This window comes from Homo sapiens, chromosome 16 (genome assembly GCF_000001405.40).
Source record: "Homo sapiens chromosome 16, GRCh38.p14 Primary Assembly".
In the NCBI taxonomy this organism is placed as follows: domain Eukaryota; kingdom Metazoa; phylum Chordata; class Mammalia; order Primates; family Hominidae; genus Homo; species Homo sapiens.
Window position 1 is genome coordinate 8,651,003 of NC_000016.10, and position 19,387 is coordinate 8,670,389.

The 19,387-nt window shown below is 47.2% G+C and overlaps 1 protein-coding gene across 3 annotated transcripts in view; it reads left to right on the top strand.

The window, feature by feature from the left end:
• The window catches only part of METTL22 (methyltransferase 22, Kin17 lysine), a 45,577-nt gene extending 29,305 nt beyond the window's left edge, over positions 1–16,272 (top strand). For 2 of the 3 annotated variants that reach the window (XM_017023660.2, XM_017023659.3), the window contains one exon: positions 13,107–16,272. In XM_017023660.2, coding sequence (XP_016879149.1) covers positions 13,107–13,310 — 204 coding nt within the window. In that variant the 3' untranslated portion in view covers positions 13,311–16,272. Of the gene's footprint in view, positions 1–10,056; positions 10,188–13,106 lie in introns of all 3 variants that reach the window. The other variant, XM_047434610.1, reaches the window with a different exon arrangement.

Sequence of the window (19,387 nt, forward strand, 5' to 3'; positions counted from 1 at the left end):
AGAGCGAGACTCCGTCTCAAAAAATAATATAAATAAATAAATGGGAAAAAAAGAGGGTAAGAATTCTTTCTTCACAGAATTATTGTAAAGATCATACTAAATGGGCCAGGCGCAGTGGCTCATACCTGTAATCCCAGCACTTTGGGAGGCCGAGGTGGGCAGATCATGAGGTCAGGAAATCAAGACCATCCTGGCTAACATGGTGAAACCCCGTCTCTACTAAAAATACAAAAAATTAGCCAGGCGTGGTGGCGGGCACCTGTAGTCCCAGCTATTCGGGAGGCTAAGGCAGTAGAATGGCGTGAACCCGGGAGGCGGAGCTTGCAGTGAGCTGAGATCGAGCCACTGCACTCCAGCCTGGGCAACAGAGCAAGACTCTGTCTCAAAAAAAAAAAAAAAAACATACTAAATGATCCATGAAAGATGCCTAGAGTCATACTTGGCCCTGGTGAAGTTTTCATTAAATTGCAGACTTAGTCCTAAGGTAGAGTTTTTGGCTTGGCGGAATTTTCAACTTGCACCTTGCAGCCTGTGTGATTTGTAAGGTTGGATTGTCTCACATCATCACCTGCTAGAGACATCACTGGGAGCAATCTCTCCCTCTCTCTATAAATAAAAGGGATCCTGTTTGCCACCCTATCCTGAAGCAATAGCTGGACAAAAAGCAAATCTGAAAAGTCAAATGGAAAAAGCCTGACTTCAATTTCAGGTTCCGTGTTGTACACGAGCATGATTTTGGAGGACCTGGGCAACCCTCAGAGAGAGAGAAAAGTCATGCTTTTGTTCTTACTCATAAGTGGGAGTTGAACAATGAGAACACAAGGACATAGGGAGGAGAACATCACACACCGGGGCCTTTTGGGGGATGGGGGACGAGGAGGGAGAGCGTTAGGACAAATACCTAATGCATGCAGGGCTTAAAACCTAGATGACGGGTTGATAGGTGCAGCAAACCACCATGGCACACATATACCTATGTAACAAACCTGCACATTCTGCACATGTATCCCAGAACTTAAAATAAAACAAGCAAAAAAGAAAAGTCATGCTTTATCCTGCTGATCCCAGCTCCACTCCACTTCCACGGGCTGCCAGTTGGGGGAGAAATGCTGCCAGGGACACAGCCTCAGAGTTCATGCTCTTCAGTATAGAGTCCAGATAAAAGTGAGATGTAGGCCGGGCGCGGTGGCTCAAGCCTGTTATCCCAGCACTTTGGGAGGCCAATGTGGGAGGATCATTTGCGGTCAGGAGTTCAAGACCAGCCTGGCCAACATGGTGAAACCCCATCTCTACCAAAAATACAAAAATTAGCCGGGCGTGGTGGTGCACAGCTGTAATCCCAGCTACTCAGGAGGCTGAGGCACAAGAATCGCTTAAACCGAGCAGGTCGAGGTTGCAATGAGCCGAGATCATGCCGCTGCACTCCAGCCTGGGCAACAGAGGGAGACTCCGTCTCAAAAAAAAAAAAAAAAAAAAAAAAAAGTGAGATGTAGTGTGTGCCCTTGCCCTTGCTTGCTGTGAAACCCTCATGTGTGGCCAGGTGCAGTGGCTCACACCTGTAATCCCAGCACTTTGGGAGGCCGAGGTAGGAGGATCACTTGAGCCAGGAGTTTGAGACCAGCCTGGGCAACATAGTGAGACCCATTCTCATGTTATTTAAAACAAATAATTATTTTAAAAAAAAAATTTTTTTAATTTTAGACTCATCTAAACTAAGGGAGCTGGGAGTAGGTGGCCATACCTTGGCCCTATGTGAGTGACTGTGATGGAAATATCAGTAGGTAACCAAGCTTATGGGTCTGTGCATCAGTGATCCACACACAACACACATCTTGGCTGTCGGCTGCAGCAGCCATGTGTCCCCTGAATGGGGAAGGGCAAAAGGAGCTATGGCTATGTGCCTGGGAGGTGGTCTTCCCAACGGGATGATGATGCTGTGTTTCCTGTCTGAGCCTTCTAGATGCTAAGTAAATGTGCTCTTAGATTAAAGCCTGTTGCATCTCAGGTGACTGCCAGTTCAAACCCACTTCTGCTGCTCAACCAATGCATGCGCCGGGCAAACGGTGGTGCTGCTGATATTGGAAGCAGGCAGTGGATCCCAGCTTCAACCAGGGAGGCCTTCCAGACTGTGCTGTTTCTTACATGGCAGTGTGGTACAGTGGCCCCAAGCAGGTGTCAGCAGGAATTTGCTTTTCTAACACTAGTTACTGATAAACAGACTGATGAATCACTCTGACAGTTTTGTGAATTTTAACCCTCTGTTAAAATCACAAGGGACAACGCTAAGTTTTAATATCTAAACTGGAATTTTAGGGGGCAAGATCAGCCCCTTAGATTGAAAGAGACCTATGGAGTTGGGTGATGTCAGGTGCCTCGGAGTCTTGGGGACAGCACCGATCTCTGTCCCCACATGGGCACACACTCTTGTCAGGCCTATCTGGCATTCAGTGATGACTTCTGTGTTGACAGGAAAATATTGATGGGATGAATGGAAAGGGTATAAAACATGGAAGAAGAAACTATTCTTTCATCAGTGATTAAAGGCAGCGGAAATAAAGCCAAGTAAAGTTCAGTGTACAAATTAATAAGGCAATCAGTCTCTATTGATTACTAGATGCCTGGTTGAAGTGGATCTTGAATTGGTTTCCCATGGGAAGGATTTGGAGATTTTAAGTGGCTGAGTGGTAATGATTAAAATCCAACTTTATTCTAAAGCTACCATACATAGTAAAGCCTTAATTAACTAAGACTCAGTTAGTTAAACCTGCTTCCCCATCATTTCCAAGGCTCAAGCTACTGAAACGTTTCAGTAGGACCAGGACTTAGAGACAGGAACACTGGGACCATCTCCTATATCTAAACACCTGGGTAGTGAGAACCCAGGAAGAAGGATGATATCAGGGAAGAATTTTGTGGAAAGCCTGACTTCAGAACCAAGCTCAATGTGGGAAGCTGAAATTGCAGTGACCCATGAGTACACCACTGCACTCCAGACTGGGTGTCAGAGCAAGACCCCATCTCAAAAAAAGAAAAAACAGGCTCAAGCAAAATGGGAGATCTCAGAGGATCGAGATGGTGATAGCCAACTGTCCTAAACATTTTAGATACATTAGCTCAGTAAATATCCCTCCACTCACGTGAGGCCCCACTTCATAGATGGGTAAACTAAGGAGGGAGTAGGCAAGGGGGCCAGGTAACTCTCCCAAGGTCACATAAGTTGTGAGGGATAGAGCCAGGCTTTGAACCTGAGAAGTTTGGCTTTATAGTCTAAGAATTTATCCCCCAGGCTCTTCACCACTCCTGGTAATTTGCTCATCATCACATAACTTATAAATGGCAGCTCTAAGGTATGTGTTTATAGGTGGAAAGTTACATACCACATGGTTAACCTTGATTAACCCCAGGGCATGGAATTGGGGGAATGGAATTGATGAGACTTTGCCCTTTATGTTATATACATGTATTTTGTTTTTACAAACATGGGTTATTTTTGTGTCTTTTTTACTAAAAATAAAGTTAAAAGAAATTAAGTACATGTGCACACATGCACGCATGCATACACACACAGCCAAAATGCTACTCTCTAACAAGAGCTGTATTTGAAAACAGATAGATCAAGCCAAGCTTTTGGGAAATAAAATTTATTTTAGCCCAAAGGTTCTAGAAAGACTCAGAGAAAAGTTCAGAGGGCAAATCATCCCTTGGGTGGGTCTGGGGCTACAAGACCCTGGGCTTGGTGCTCCTCCAACTGAGCCTCAGAATGCATAGAATGAGACTATGCCAGGCTCATCTGAACTCCATGTTGTCTGGTTCCCCAGTGGGAAATTTGTCATGTCCAGACCCAGGGGAGTGTGGCCGTGATCTGTACTAAAGGCTGAAGTTCCACCATAAGTTTTATCCATGTTTCTAGCCCATTACATTTTTACAGAGAACGCTAATGGACATAGCAGCAAACTGAAGGTGGACATAAATCCAGCCACCATGTGGGAAGGGAAAAAAGGGAGTAACTCAAACCTGCTGGGCCTCTTCCCAATAGTTAGAAGACTCTAAAATAAGCCAAGCCCTGTGTGGGGCATTGGGGAAAGGAACTGTATTATCTATTTGCTGCATGACAAAATACCCCAAAACTTAGAAGCTTAAGACAACAAACATTTATTATCTTACAGTACCTGTGGGTCATAAATCTGGGCTTAGTTTAACTGGGTGCCTCTGTCTTAAGACCTCTGCTAAGGCTACAAGGAGTTCAGCTGTGGTCTCATCTGAAGGTTCAACTAAGAGTGGATCCACATTGAGGCTCCCTCTTGTGGTTGGTGGCAGGATTCAGTTCCTCACCTGCTATGGGTCTAAGGGCCTCAGTTCCTCACTGGCTGCTGACCACAGACTTCTCTCATTTCTCTGCCATGTGGGCCTCTCTAGGGGGCCTCTGATAAAGCCAGGACATGACAGCAGCTTTCTCAGAGCAAGCATACAAGAATAGAGAGAGTTTACTGGGAGGTAACCTAATCTGAGAAGTGACACTCCGTCACTTTTGTCACATTCAGTTCTTCAGAAGTGAGTCACTAAGTCCAGCCCACACTCAAGGGGAGGGGATTACACAGAGTGGGAATACCCAAAGGTGGGATCACTGGGGACCATCTCAGAGGCTGCCCACAAGAGAGATGCAAAGGACACATCCTTGCCCTGAAGAGGCACTGAATCTGGAAGGAAGTGGGCAAGCCCGCCAGCATTGTGATGCAGAGATCGTGTTCTCATACCCACAGCTGATGTCCATTGAGCACCAACTTCCATCCAGGTGCTCTTCTAAACAAAGCCGTTCAATCTATTATCCACCTAAATGTGCAAACTAAGATTTATTTCTGAGGCATTTGGGGGATTCAGGAAGAGGAGAGGGCTGAGGGTGATGCCTAGCTTTCTGGCTTGGAGGACTGTGTCTTCTGACAAGACATAGTTCTTGAAGACTCACCACCATGCCCTCCACCAAGGTAAATTCTCCTGATGACCACATCTTTGCTCTAACACAGTGTTCTCCAAAGTATGGCGAGTTAGGATACCAGTGGTATGTGGCAGGTTTTTGTTGTTGTTGTTTTAGAGACAGGTCTCGCCATGTTGCCCACTGGAGTGCAGTGGCTATTCACAGGCATGAGCATAGTGCACCACGGCCTCGAACTGCTTGGGCTCAAACAGTCTTTCTACCTCAGCCTCCCAAGGAGCTAGGACTACAGGTGTGCACCACTGTTCCTGGCGCAGAGAGGTTTTAAGAGAAAAGCATTTTGAAGTTTATCCTATTGACATGTATGTAGCAGGATGCCACTTCCAGGGATTAGTCCTTTCCTCCACCCCCACTTCCTAAATGATTTTATTTGTACCCTGAGGGCCTTTTCCCCACTTCCCCCACAGACCTGCGTGAGTAGACCTCAGGCACCAACTGCACAACTAACTATTGGAGAAGCAAAGATTAAGCTCCAGCACAGCCACTAGGCAAAACCTGGGACACAGGGATTCTAATGTGAACTTGCAGAGTAAGATTCTCTGCTTCTGAGAAAACAGCTGTGTGGGCTGTGAAGATGGGAGAGGAGGTTTGAGACTCCAGTTACCTCAGCAGGAGAGCAGCCAGTCCCTGTCACTCCACCTTCATCTGCAGTGAGTGATGTTCCAGCAGTGCTGGCCTGGGCTGGGCTGTGCCCTGCGGCTCCAATGCCCTCCTGACAACCCAGGAAGCTGTCTTACTCCATTTTGTGCTGCTATAACAGAACACCACAGACTGGGTAACGTAATTAACAGAAATGTATTGGCTCACAGTTCTGAGGCTGGGAGGTCCAAGAGCTAAAGGCCAGCATCTGGCAAGGGCCTTCTTGCTGCATGATAGCACAGCAGAAGGCGCCACATGGTAGAACAGTAAAGAGAGGATGAGAACGAGAGAGAAGTAAACATGGGTCAAACTCGTCCTTTTATAAGGAACCCACTCCCGAGAAGACAAACCCACTCTGGTGATAACAGGATTAATCCACAGAGTCCTCTTGCCCTAATCACCTCTTAAAAGTCCCACCTCTTGATACTGTTACAATAGGAATACACTTCATCATGAGTTGTTTGGGAGGGAACAGACATCTAAACCACAGCTGAGCCCTTCTTACAGCAAGATAAGAGAGGAAGATGCCACTTCAGGGAGGATCGATGTCATTACAAGACCTCACAAAACCTGTTTGAAGTCACCCTCCAAGCTAGTCCAGTTGTTGAACCACACCATCATGCCCTGTTTTGTGTATTCTGGGAGAAAAATGTATCTTGCATTTGAAAACCAGGGACATGAAGGATATTATTCTCGGTTGAGGCTAAGTTAATAATTTGTGCGTAGTTAAATACAATATTAAGTAATAATGTAAGTGGGAAGCAGGAATAGCAAATGTCACAAAGATGGTGATCTTGGGGGCTGAAGTTTGCAAAACACCAACAATAGCTTTGCCTGTGGTTTCAGCCTTTGTCCTGTCCCTCTTTAACTAAAGGCAGGAAGACTTGTCCCCCATAAAACCAGGTTCCTTTTCGTCTACTATATGGAGTTCAAAACAATTTCAGTCAGTCCTGAGAAACTGAAGACAAAGGATGTTTTCCACCTTTTTGAAACTATAGTGGGTTGAATGGTGGCCCTAAACAAGCTATGTCCACGTTCTAAACCCCAGAACCTATGAATGGGAAACTTGGAAACATTTGAGAAAGGGGTCTTTGCAGATCTAATTAAGTTAAGGGTCTTGACAGTCGTCCTGGATTTAGGGCGGGTCCTAAATCTAATGACTGGTGTCCTTCTTTTTTCTTTTCTTTTCTTTCTTTTTTTTTTGAGACAAGGTTTCTCTCTGTCACCCAGGCTGGAGTTCAGTGGTGTGATCATAGCTCAGTGCAGCCTCAACCTCCTGGACTCAAGCTATCCTCCCATCTCAGTCTCCTGAGTAGCTGGGATACAGGCGTGTGACGCCATGCCTGGCTAATTTTGTCTGTTTTTAGCAGAGACGGGGTTTCACCATGTTGCCCAGGCTGGTCTCAAACTCCCGAGTTCAAGCAATCCTCCCACCTTGGCCTCCCAAAGTGCTGGGATTATAGGCATGAGCCACCGTGCTCTGCCCCTGATGTCTTTATAAGAGAAAGGAGAGGGAGATTTGAGAACCACAGTGAAGATGGCCTATGAAGGCAGAGATCAGAGTGATGCTGCCACATGAAGGAGCACCCGGGATCACCAGAAACTGGAAGAGGCAAGGAAGAACCCTCCCCTTGAGCCTTTGGAGGCGTGAGTCCCTGCTGACACCTTGATTGCGGACTTCTGGTTTACAGAACTGAAATAATCCATTTCCACTGTTTTAATCCCCCAGTTTGTGGTCATTTGTTACCAAAGCAAACTCATCCAGAACCCAAGGGATATAGGCTCAGAAATGTGCACCTCATGGTAAAGAAACACTACAAGCCACTGCAAAGCTGAAGGAGACAGGGAATGGGGAGGAAGTCCCCAGGCTCAATCTCAAAGATCTTGGCTGAAGCCCGGTTGCTCCTCGGCTCCAGAAGAGCTAGGTGGACATGGTATGCCTCATATCCTCAGGTGAATACTTGGCATCGGTCAGAAGGATATCCTGAGATGCTGTGAGGGATCTTTGAAAATATTTACTCTCCAGCATGTAAATATACCGAAAGATCTTCCTGCTATTAACATATCTCCGTCTTTGGGAGGGCGGGGACTTGGCTTTTCAGTCCAGATTTGACCAGAGTGCACGTCAAGGCTCTACTGTAGACACCCACTCTGGGAGGTCATTGCACAAAGCCCAAATCCCTTTGCAGGGCCCACAAGGCCCTCCAAGGCCTGGCCCCTGCCTCCCTTCCCAGCCCCATCTCATCCACCATATTGAATCCTCCCCACTCCGAGAATGCACCACTCTCTTGGCCATGTGCCTTAATGCAACCCCTCCTCACCCTCTCAAACCACCCACCCAGCCCCTCTCCCCTGCCCCTTCTTCCACAAAGCCTTCCCCAGTGTCCACAGCCCATTTAAAACTTGGTGTGATAATCAGCCAGGCACGCTGGCTCACACCTGTAATCCCAGCACTTTGGGAGGCCAAGGTGGGCAGATAACTTGAGGTCAGGAGTTCGAGACCAGCCTGGCCAACATGGTGAAACCCCATCTGTACTAAAAATACAAAAATTAGTTGGGCACAGTGGTGTGCCCCTGTAGTCCCAGCTACTTGTGAGGCTAAGAAGGGAGAATTGCTTGAACCTGGGAGGCAGAGGTTGCAGTGAGCCAAGATTGCGCCTCTGTACTCTAGCCTGGGCAACAGAATGAGGAAAAAAAAAAAAAACGAACAAAAAAAACTTGGTATGATAATCATCCATCCTTCACCAGATCATGAGTCCTGGAATGACAGAGCTGGCATCATATGAATTGCCCAGCCTGACCCTCCCAGCCATTCTGCAAATATCTACCAAGGAGTGTCCACATGCTGGATATTTATGAGGTATTGGGAGGCAGCAGGGAGCCAGGCATTACACCTGTCTGACCTCACGAAGCCTACATTCTAGAGGAGGCAACCTGCAATAAACAAATAAATGCAAAATATAATGTCAGGTAGTGTAAAGAACCACAGTCCAAAAGCTACAAGTGAGGCAAAAAGGTGACTGCATGCTAGAGCCATCAGGACAGTGCAGCACTTGTGTATACAATTGATTAAATTGATTAGGGCGCAAGGACTTCGCTTTTTTTTTTTCCAGACAGCGTCTTACCTTGTTACCCAGGCTGGAGTGCAGTGGCGCAGTCTTGGCTCACTGCAGCCTCGACCTCCTGGGCTCAAGCGATCCTCCCACCTCAGCCCCACCAAGTAGCTGGGATTACAGGCACAAGTCACCATACCCAGCTAATTTTTTGTATTTCTTGTAGAGACGGGGTCTCACTATGTTGCCCAGGCTGGTCTCAAACTCCTGAGCACAAGCCATCCTCCCACCTCAGCCTCACAAAATGCTAGGATTATAAGTGTGAGCCACCACATCTGGCCACATTTTTCATTTCTGTTGAACTGAAATCATGTGATGCTTTTCTCTTCTGTCTAGTAGGAAAATCACCCCAAAGGGTACAGTGATTTTTGCCCTGTAGGACATTAACTGACTTTATGTGTAACATGGCCTGTTTTTGTTTTTGTTTTTGTTTTTTTGTTTGTTTGTTTTGAGATGGAGTCTCACTCTGTTGCCCAGGCTGGAGTGCAGTGGTGTGATCTCAGCTCACTGCAGCCTCCGCCCTCTGGATTCAAGCAATTCTCGTGCCTCAGCCTCCCAAGCTGGAACTACAAGCGCACACCACCACACCTGGCTAATTTTTGTATTTTTTTTTAGTAGAGATGGGGGTTTCACCATGTTGGCCAGGCTGGTCTCGAACTCCTGACCTCAAGTGATCCGCCTGCTTCGGCCTCCCAAAGTGCTGGGATTACAGGTGTGACCCACTGCGCCCAGCATAATATGGCAATTTTATCTCCTCATTTTTCCTACTTCCTAGAAGAATCCCTGTTTTTCGAATTCTCATTGGAGCCAGCTTTGTCATTGTGCCTAGGCCCTCATTAGTAAAGTAAATAAGACTTTTAATACATACTCACTACTGACTTTAAGATAATTATGTTTTAATGGTTTGAGAATTATAGCCTTGGCAGTGTTGGTAAGTACTAGAAAGAACAATAGAGCCATCGGGGGCTGGAAGAGTGTGAATGAGGGCGGTCGCTGCTTCAGGTGGGGAGATTGGGCCGGCAAGTGGGCAAGTCTTGGAGGAGGAGGAGGAGGAGGAGGAGGAGGAGGAGGAGGAGGAGGAGGAGGGGGAGGAGGGGGAGGAGGGGGAGGAGGAAGAGGAGGAGGAGGAGGAAGAGGAGGAGGAGGAGGAGGAGGAGGAGGAGCTGTGCTGAGTGGGTGAGCGGATGAGTGAACGGAAACCCAGAGCTACCAGGGATCCGGACTCTGGCCCGACCAGTGGGGAAGACAGGTGATGAGTTTGGTCTTGGCTTCAAGTCTCCCAAAGGGTCTGGATGTCATGTTCTCCTCCCCCAGGTTCCGCGGCTTGAGGGAAGCAGGGCCGTCAGGCACCTTGCGTCCCTGCTGGCCCCTGGCAGGATTCTCACCACAAGGTGGTGCCCCAGCCTCATGAATCCAGGGCCAGACGTGCCAGAAAGGAATCCAAGGTAATCATCAGTCCTGGCAGCCATGCCAACGTGTGGGTCTACAGTGACTCTCGGGGGACCCTAACTAACCTGCTATACATTGTACAGCAGCACGTGAGTTCTGAGAGCCGCCAGTACCCAGCTAGCCCCAAACCCGAATTCAGATAAAACCCGCCTTTATTAAGAACTTACCGTTGGCCGGGCGCGGTGGCTCACACCTGTAATCCCAGCACTTTGGGAGGCCAAGGCGGGCAGATCACGAGGTCAGGAGATCGAGACCATCCTGGCTAAAATGGTGAAACCCCGTCTCTACTAAAAACACAAAATATTAGCCGGGCGTGGTGGCGGGCGCCTGTAGTCCCAGCTACTGCGGAGGCTGAGGAGGAGAATGGCGTGAACCCAGGAGGCTGAGCTTGCAGTGAGCCGAGATTGAGCCACTGCACTCCAGCCTGGGCGACACAGCGAGACTCCGTCTCAAAAAAAAAAAAAAAAGAACTTAAAATTGATCTCATTTATCTGCCCAACAACTTTGTACTCATATTATTTTATTCTATTTTATTTTATCACTATTATTATTATATTTTTGTAGAGACAGGGTCTCACTATATTGACCAGGATGATTTCGAACTCCCGGCCTCAAGCAATCCTCCCACTTTGGCCTCTCAAAATGCTGGAATTACAGGCATGAGCCACTGTGCCCAGCCTCCTGTACCCATTTTAGGGACACGTAAGCTAAGGCTCGAATCTTTACAGAGGCTGTCTGAGGTCACAGGACTCAGAAGTAGCAAGAATGGGCTTGGCATGGTGGCTCACGCCTATAATCCCAATACTTTGAGAGACAGAGGTGGGAAGATCACTTGAGTCCAGGAGTTCAAGACCAGCCTGGACAACATACCAAGACTGTCTCTACCAAAAGAAAAACAATCAGCTGGGTGCAGTGGCACGTGTCCGTAGTCCCAGCTACTCAGGAGGCCAAGGCAAGAGAATTGTTTGAGCCCAGGAGTTTGAGGTTACAGTGAACTGTGACTGCACCACTGCACTCCCGCCTGGGCAATAGAGCGAGACTCTGTCTCTAAAAATAAAAATAGCAAAGAAGTAACAAGAGGTGGGATCTAACACCGGTTCTGTCTTTCCATTGGAAACCCAGAGCTCTTTCCATGACCCCTGCCCAGGGTGAATATTGTTTGTCTGAAGGAATCCAGGAGCCTTGTGGATTGGAGCTTATGCTGTGCCATTGTCTTTGGATGGATTGAAGGGTTTGACATGCCAGGGCTGGGACATGATGACAGTCTTATTCTGCCTGCCTCAGGCTTCAGGAAACAACTGCTGTTAGAGCCATGTGGGAGCGTTTCTTGGGGGTGTTTCTTTGGAGCGTTTCTTCTAGACCAGGAAGGTGACAACCTTCACAGTGGGATGCATGGACTGGTGGTGGAGTTTCCAGCTTCAGAGCTCACCAAGAAAGAGCATGAAGCTGATGGTTTGGGTCCTGGAGACAGGGACAAAAGGAACAGAGCCTTCCCCCAGCACCCCTTTCCACTGGAGGTTCCTCAGAGGCAATAAAGCTTGATGGTTAGAACATGGCACCTGGCATCTGAACTCAAACCAGCCCGAACACTCACCTCTCTGAGCCTCAGAATCCTGGTCTGTAAAATGCGCACACTACTAGTACTTACTTCTCAAAGTTGGACTTGGTAATGTCTGTCAAGCACCTAACATATAACAGGGCAAGGAAGAAAAGCTCAAGCAATGGTAGCCATCACCAGGCGTGGTGGCTCACACCTGTAACCCCAGCACTTTGGGAGGCTGAAGCGGGTGGATCACCTGAGGTCAGGAGTTCGAGACCAGCCTGGCCAACATGGTGAAACCCCGTCTCTACTAAAAATACAAAAATTAGCCGGGCATGATGGCAGGCGCCTATAATCAGCTACTTGGGAGGCTGAGGTAGGAGAATCACTTGAACCCGGGAGGCAGAGGTTACAGTGAGCCAAGATTGCACCACTGCACTCCAGCCTGGGTGACAAGAGCAAAACTCCGTCTCAAAAAAAAAAAAAAAAAAAGGTAGCCAAGCCATCATCATCATCATCTCCCTATTATTATTAATCTCTGTTGCATTTCTATTAACTGTGTGTCTTGGGAGAATGGAAATTCCCCAAGTAGGCGTCCTGCTCAACAGTTAATGATGGTAAAACAGTCTCACTTGCCTAACCACTTCGCCTAAGTGTTACTTGACTGACAGGGTGGGTTATTTTGGGGAGAAAAAAAATCAGTCAAGCTCTCGAGTGCACCGTCCCTGAAAGGTTTCTATGACAACACATACCTGGATGTTCCAGTGGGAGGGTCACCTGGGGAAGAGTTCAGAGCTAAAATCAAGAGGGGGCCCCACCCAGGTGGGGGCCCCACCTGGAGGCTGGGGGAGGTCCTCCCACTCCTCCTATTTTTCTGCCTGTGTTTTCCCAGCCCTGACTCTGTATCCCTTTTAAACCTCTTCACAGCCCTGTGGGGTAAGTACTATTATTCTTACATCCATTTTACAGATGAAGCAACTGAGGCTTGGAGAAATTAAAGCTTGCCCAAGGTCAGTCTGCTGATCACATCTTGGATCATCTTAGACCTTTCTGGGTTTCATTTGTCAGACTAGAGGAGTTACACTAGAGTGAGGTTTCTCAGTCTCAGCACTGCCAACGTGTTGGGCTCAGTAATCCCATGTCATAGGAGACTGTCCTATGCATTGTAGAGCATTCAGCAGTCCCCTCGGCCTCTACCCACCGGATGCCAGGAGCACCTCCCTGTCTCCCACCCCCGACCACAGTCATGACAACCAAAACTGTCTCCAGCTGTGGCTAGATGGCCCCAGTTAATAACCACTGGGCTAGGCAATGATCTTTCCTCTTTCCTTACACTTGTGCATTCTAAGTTTTTTAATTTTTTTTTTTTTTTTAGATGGAGTCTCGCTCTGTTTCCCAGGCTGAAGTGCAATGGCGTGATGTCGGCTCACTGCATCCTCCGGCTCCTGGACTCAAGCGATTCTCCTGCCTCAGGCTCCCAAGTAAGTGGAACCACAGACATTTTCTATTTCTTTGCAAGCATTTTCTATTTCTTTGCAAGTTCACCTGTCTGTTCACCTGTGACACCATGCCCAGCTAATTTTTGTATTTTTAGTAGAGACAGGGTTTCACCATGTTGGCCAGGCTGGTCTCGAACTCCTGACCTCAGGTGATCCACCTGCCCCAGCCTCCCAAAGTGTTGGGATTACAGTGTGAGCCACCACGCCCAGCCTACATTTTATTTATGTATTTTTTTTTTGAGATGGGGTCTTGCTCTGCCACCCAGCCTGGAGTGCAGTGATGCTATCACGGCTCACTACAGCCTCAGCCTCTCAGGCTCAAGCAGTGCTCCCACCTTGGCCTCCTGAGTAGCTAGGACCTAGGCACATACCACCACACCAGGCTAATTTATTTATTTTTTGTATTTTTGTAAAGATGGGGTCTCCTTATGTTGCCTGGGCTGGTATCAAACTCCTGGGCTCAAGTGATCTTCCCACCTCAGCCTTCCAAAGTGCTGGGATGACAGGCATGAGCCACCACGTCTAGCCCACTCTAAAGCTCTTTCCCAGGACCCATCTCAAGTGATCCATGTGTGTTCATGTGACATTGAGGTCTTTCATGCAAAGATCCTTATCCAGGGCCCTAGAGCAGCCCGCACCTGAGCCAGGTGCTCAGGAAATCAGAATGAAAATCATCTCACCTGCTTGGTTGTCTGGCACGTCTCACTGTATCACCCTGCTTTAAAGGCACAGAAACTGAGGGTCCCTGGGGAGGAGGGACTCACTAGGGATCCCACAGTCTGTGAGCGAGAAAGCTGGGTGGGAGCCCTGATGGGCCTGACTCTAGGGCAGGAGTTTCCACGGTATCCTCTAAGGAGTTTGAGACCAGCCTGGGCAACATGGTGAAACCCCGTATCTACTAAAAATACAAAAAAAGTAATAATAATAAACAGGCATAGTGGTGCACATCTGTAGACCTAGCTGCTCAAGAGTCTGAAGTGGGAGAATCACTTGAGTTAAGGAGATCGAGGCTGCAGTGAGCCAAGACCGCACTGCAGCCTGGGTGATGAGAGTGAGACGCTCTCTCAAAACAAAATAAAACAAAAATAGCTGAGGCTGAGAGAGACAAATGCCTGAGAAGGAACGGTGGGTCTGACCTTGAACCCTGGTGACTCCAAGTCAGGAGCTGCCTCTGGGACCCAGCATACAGCCTGGCACCTTCCAGGCAAAGCCCCTCCCTCTGCTGCCTCTGAATTCAGCAGGAGACTGAGCGTTTGCATACACTTCGTGTCTGAAAACTTCCAGGATTCCCAAGATTCATTTCACAAAGACTTTTCTCGTAGGACAGGTATTTGAAACATCTGGTTAACAAGTACCCAGCTTGAAGAAAGCCTGGATCTTCACAGCACGCTCAGTTTGTAGAAGAGAAAAACCCTACTCTGGGCTCTAATTTGCTTCAGCTCCATTAAACACATCCTGAGCCCTGCTGTGTGCCAGACGCTGTGCTGAATACCTGGCACCAGAAGACCAATCGGGCCCAGGGCTTCTCCCCAAGGAGCTTCCTGGCCAGGCGGAGACACCCCTGGAATAGACCATTTAGGAGCCTGAGGCCTGCATGTAGCATTTAGTCAGCAGTTAAGTGTGGAAGTATAAGTGAGTAAATGGATGAATACCTGAGGGTGCGAATGAGCTACAGAATTAATGACTGAATGAATTAATGAAGTTGACAAATGCTATTACAGAAGTGAGCACAGACTATGATAGCCCAGCAGAGAGGCATTTAGAACCTTAGCTGTGGCCACAGGTGATGGTGCAGGAGGAAAAGCCAATATCTGTGCAGCATTTTCCATTTCTTTGCAAGTTCACCTGCCTCTATCATCTGAGACTCACCCTGAGGGTGTTCTTTGGTTGCCTGAGAGTCTGCTCAACCTGAAAGGGACAGGTGGCCAGAAGTGCTGGGGAGTTGACATCCTGAGCAAGCAGTTCTTGGCCAATGACGGGGAGTAGTTGGTGTATAAATACCCCAGCTTCCTTGCTCCACGGTGGGATAATCCTAAAGTGACTGTTCTGTGCCGGCTCCCAGTGTTCCCCAATGGAACGGAGCTGCAGTCACCCACAGTGATTATTTGCTAGATAACCCACACCTTATTATCGACCCACCAATATCTCCTGGAATCATCCTGAGATCACCTCCCAAATAAAGCACTCAAATCTTTGTCTCAGAATCTATTTCTAGGAGAACCCAAACTACAAGAGTGATGATTATGAAAACATTTATGGTCATAGCTAATATTTGCTGAGTGCTTACTACATGCCAGCCACTGCCTGCTACGTGCTCTAAGGCACTTCTCCCACTTAACACTCATGAAATCTCTGAGATGCAGACATTATGATCATCATCCCATTTTACAGATGGGACTGAGGCTCAGAAGTGAAGTCATCTATGTAAAGTCATGTAATTCTTTATCGTCACAGCCAGAATATGAGCCCAACTCTCTTTAACTCCAGAGTTTGAGGATATAACCATTCTGCCATGCTGTCTCCTGATTTTCTTTTCTTTCTTTCTTTCTTTCTTTTTTTTTTTTTTTCTTTGAGATGGAGTTTTGTTCTTGTTGCCCAGGCTGTAGTGCAATGGTACCATCTCGGCTCACTGCAACCTCCGCCTCTCGTATTCAAATGATTCTCCTGCCTCAGCCTCCCTAGTAGCTAGGATTACAGGCACCTGCCACCATGCCCAGCTAATTTTTTTGTTTTTTGTATTTTTAGTAGAGACAGGGTTTCACTATGTTAGCCAGGCTGGTCTCGAACTCCTGACCTCAGTTGATCTACCCACCTCAGCCCCCAAAAGTGCTGGGATTACAGGCCTGAGCCACCGCGCCCGGCTCTGTCTCCTGATTTTCATCTTCCATTGTCTGTAGGGAGGAGAGATGAGGACGAGAGGGAGAAAGGATGCCTGGGCTTGCTTTCTCAGTGGGGAAGAGTTCAATCTCAGTTCAGGTTTTCTTTTAACAAAATTTTTATGTTAATAAAATTAATAAAGTTGTTTTATTTATTTATTTTAAATTTTTATTTTCTTTATTATTTTGTTATTTTATTTTAAGTTCTGGGATACATGTGCAGAATGTGCAGGTTTGTTACATAGGTATACATGTGCCATAGTGGTTTGCTGCACCTATCAACTCGTCATCTAAGTCTTAAGCCCCGCGTGCATTAGGTATTTGTCCTAATGATCTCCCTCCCCTTGCCCCCCAATCCCCTGACAAGCCCCTGTGTGTGATGTTCCCCTCCCTGTGTCCATGTGTTCTCACAGCTCAACTCCCACTTATGAGTGAGAACACGTGGTGTTTGGCTTTGTGTTCCTGTGTTAGTTTGCTGGGAATGATGGCTTCTAGCTTCATCCATGTCCCTGAAAAGGACATGATCTCATTCTTTTTTATGGCTGCATAGTATTCCATGGTGTATATGTGCCACATTTTTGGGGTTTTCTCCTCCTCTGTAAAGTTTCAGCACAGAGTTCCTGGACAGCGCCTCAGGGCCAAGAGCTCCCCAAGAGCTCCCCAAGAGCTCTCCAAGATGTCCTTCCTCAGCATCCTGCTGTCCTTTTCATGCAGTGAAATTGATACGTATTCCTAGAACTCCTACTGCATGCCAAGCACTGTCAGAAGTCAAGTCATCAAAGAACTCAGAAAAGAAGTACATGTTTAGCTATTTTTTCCATCAGTCTCGATGAGGGAGCTACACTCCAACTGATCCCTGGAGATACCACAGCCATGTATTGTCAAGAAGAATTGGGGTAAATAGGCAGGGTATCTCTAGCCACAGGAGGAAGGGACCCAGGATGTACTAAGCTCCTTCTATATTCTTGGAACTACATACACATTAACTCAGGCAGGGTTTCTCAAGCTCGGCACCACTGACATGTTGAGCATGAGAATTGTCTGTTGTTCACTTTCTGCCTTTAGGAAGTCCTGCAGAGCATGGGGGTGGCAGTATGACCCAGCTCCCCTGTCATTTCACTACATCTTGAGCCAGAAGGGGGACTGCACTGCCGTGCATCCTTTGGGCTGGCAATGCTGGCGGTCCCAGTCATCACAATGGCAGCAGAACAAAGCCCTGACATGTGTGTGACGTGTCAGATGCAGCAGCTGCCTGTTGGGCCTGGCTCACTTTCTCATGCTTTCCCCATATTACCTGAGATGTTCAGAGGAGGAAAGCTGGAGGCAGCCCTTGGGTCTTCTAGGAGCCTAGCACGAGGGCCAAAATGCATGAGAACAAGCACAAGATAATCCCATAGAAGCCTTCCTCTTAGCATTCAGGCCTCAGATTAAATGTCACAGCCTTGTGGACAACTCCCTGAGCATCATGGCTGGTGTACCCACCCTGATCCCAGGAACATCATCTTATTTTGCATTTCCCTAAAGCACTTATTATCAGAAATTAGCTTCTTAGGCTGGGCACAGTAGATCATACCTGCATTCCCAGCACTTTGGGAGGCCAAGGTGGGAAGATCACTTGAGACCAGGATTTCGAGACCAGCCTGGCCAATATGGCAAAACCCCATTTCTACTTAACATACAAAAACTAGCTGGGTATGGTGGTACACGTCTGTAATCCCAGCTTCTCGGGAGGCTGAGACACAAGAATCGCTTGAACCGGGGAGGCAGAGGTTGCAGTGAGCCAAGATAGCGCCACTGCACTCCAGCCTGGGTGACAGAGCAAGACTCCGTCTCAAAAAGAAAGAAAAAAAAGAACGAATGAAAGAGAGAGAGAGAAAAAAAGAAAGAGAGAAAAAAATGAGAGAGAGAGAAAGAAAAGAAAGAAAGACAGAAAGAAAAAAAGAAAAGAGAAGAGAAAGGAAAAGAAAAAAAAAAAAAAAAGAAAAGAGCTTTCTTAGTTACACATTCATCTTCTTATACACTGTCTCCCAGCTGCAGAATGGAAGTTCCATGGGGTCAGGACCACAATCCCCAATGCCTGGCACGCAGTAGGTGCTAAATGTGTATTTGTTGACTGAACAAATTGATGGAAAAATTACTAAATGAATGAATGAGCTCTGGCCCACCTCTCACAATCAAGCAGATAGTTTGGTGAAACTAGTACAACTATGTACAGGGCTAATGCACAGTGCCCAGCAGGGACCAGGAGCAAACTTCCCTTACTTACCCAACCAATGACCTACTGTGGTACATACTTTTTTCCTTATTATGGTAAAATACACATTGCACAAAATTCACCAATTTTTACCATTTTAGAGTGTACAATTCAATGGCATTAAGTACAATCAAAATGCTTTTTTGTTGCTGTTGTTTTTGAGATGGAGTCTTGCTCTGTCACCCAGGCTAGGTGGAGTGCAATGGCACAACCTTGGCTCACTGCAACCTCTGCCTCCCAGGTTCAGGCAATCCTCCCACCTCTGCCTCTTAAGTAGCTGAGACCACAGCCACACACCACCACACCTGGTTAATTTTTGTATTTTTTCTAACAGTGGGGTTTTGCCAGGTTTCCCAGACTGGTCTCAAATTCCTGGGCTCAAGTGATCCGGCAGCCTTGGAGCTCCCAAAGTGCTAGGATTACAGGTGTGAGCCATTGCACCTGTTCCCCCTTCCCATGTTTTCTTCTAAGAATTTTATAGTGTTAGGTCTTATATTTATTTAGGTCTTTGATCCAATGTTGAGTTAGTTTTTTTATATGGTGTGAGGTAAGCGTCTATCTTCTTTCTTTTACATGTGAAAACGTGGTAGATACTTTATTCAATTTACAGATTAGAACATAGAGACTGAGAGGGAGTAAATGACATGTCCAGAGTCACATAGCCATTGGGAGTTGGAACTAGAATTCAATATTAGGTCTGACTCCCAAGTTGATCCCCTTTCCACCACATCAAAATGCCCTTTATTATTTTGTATAGATGATATCTCTTTATTATTTTGTGACCAGGGATGTGGAAATCACAGGCCTAGTCAATAAAATATGTGCTTTAATCTGGCTCTGGACAAGTTATTCCTCCTCTCTGGGCCTCAGTCTCCTCTTCTGTACAATGGGCTGCTGATCTCTAAGAGTCTCTCCTGTGGAGACAACTGGTACCCTTGGAGCCTCATTCACCCTTGCCTTTGTTTTCATTTCTCCTCTCCAGAGTGCAGTGGGGGCCCTCCCAGCTACAGCTGCGCTTCTGGAAGGA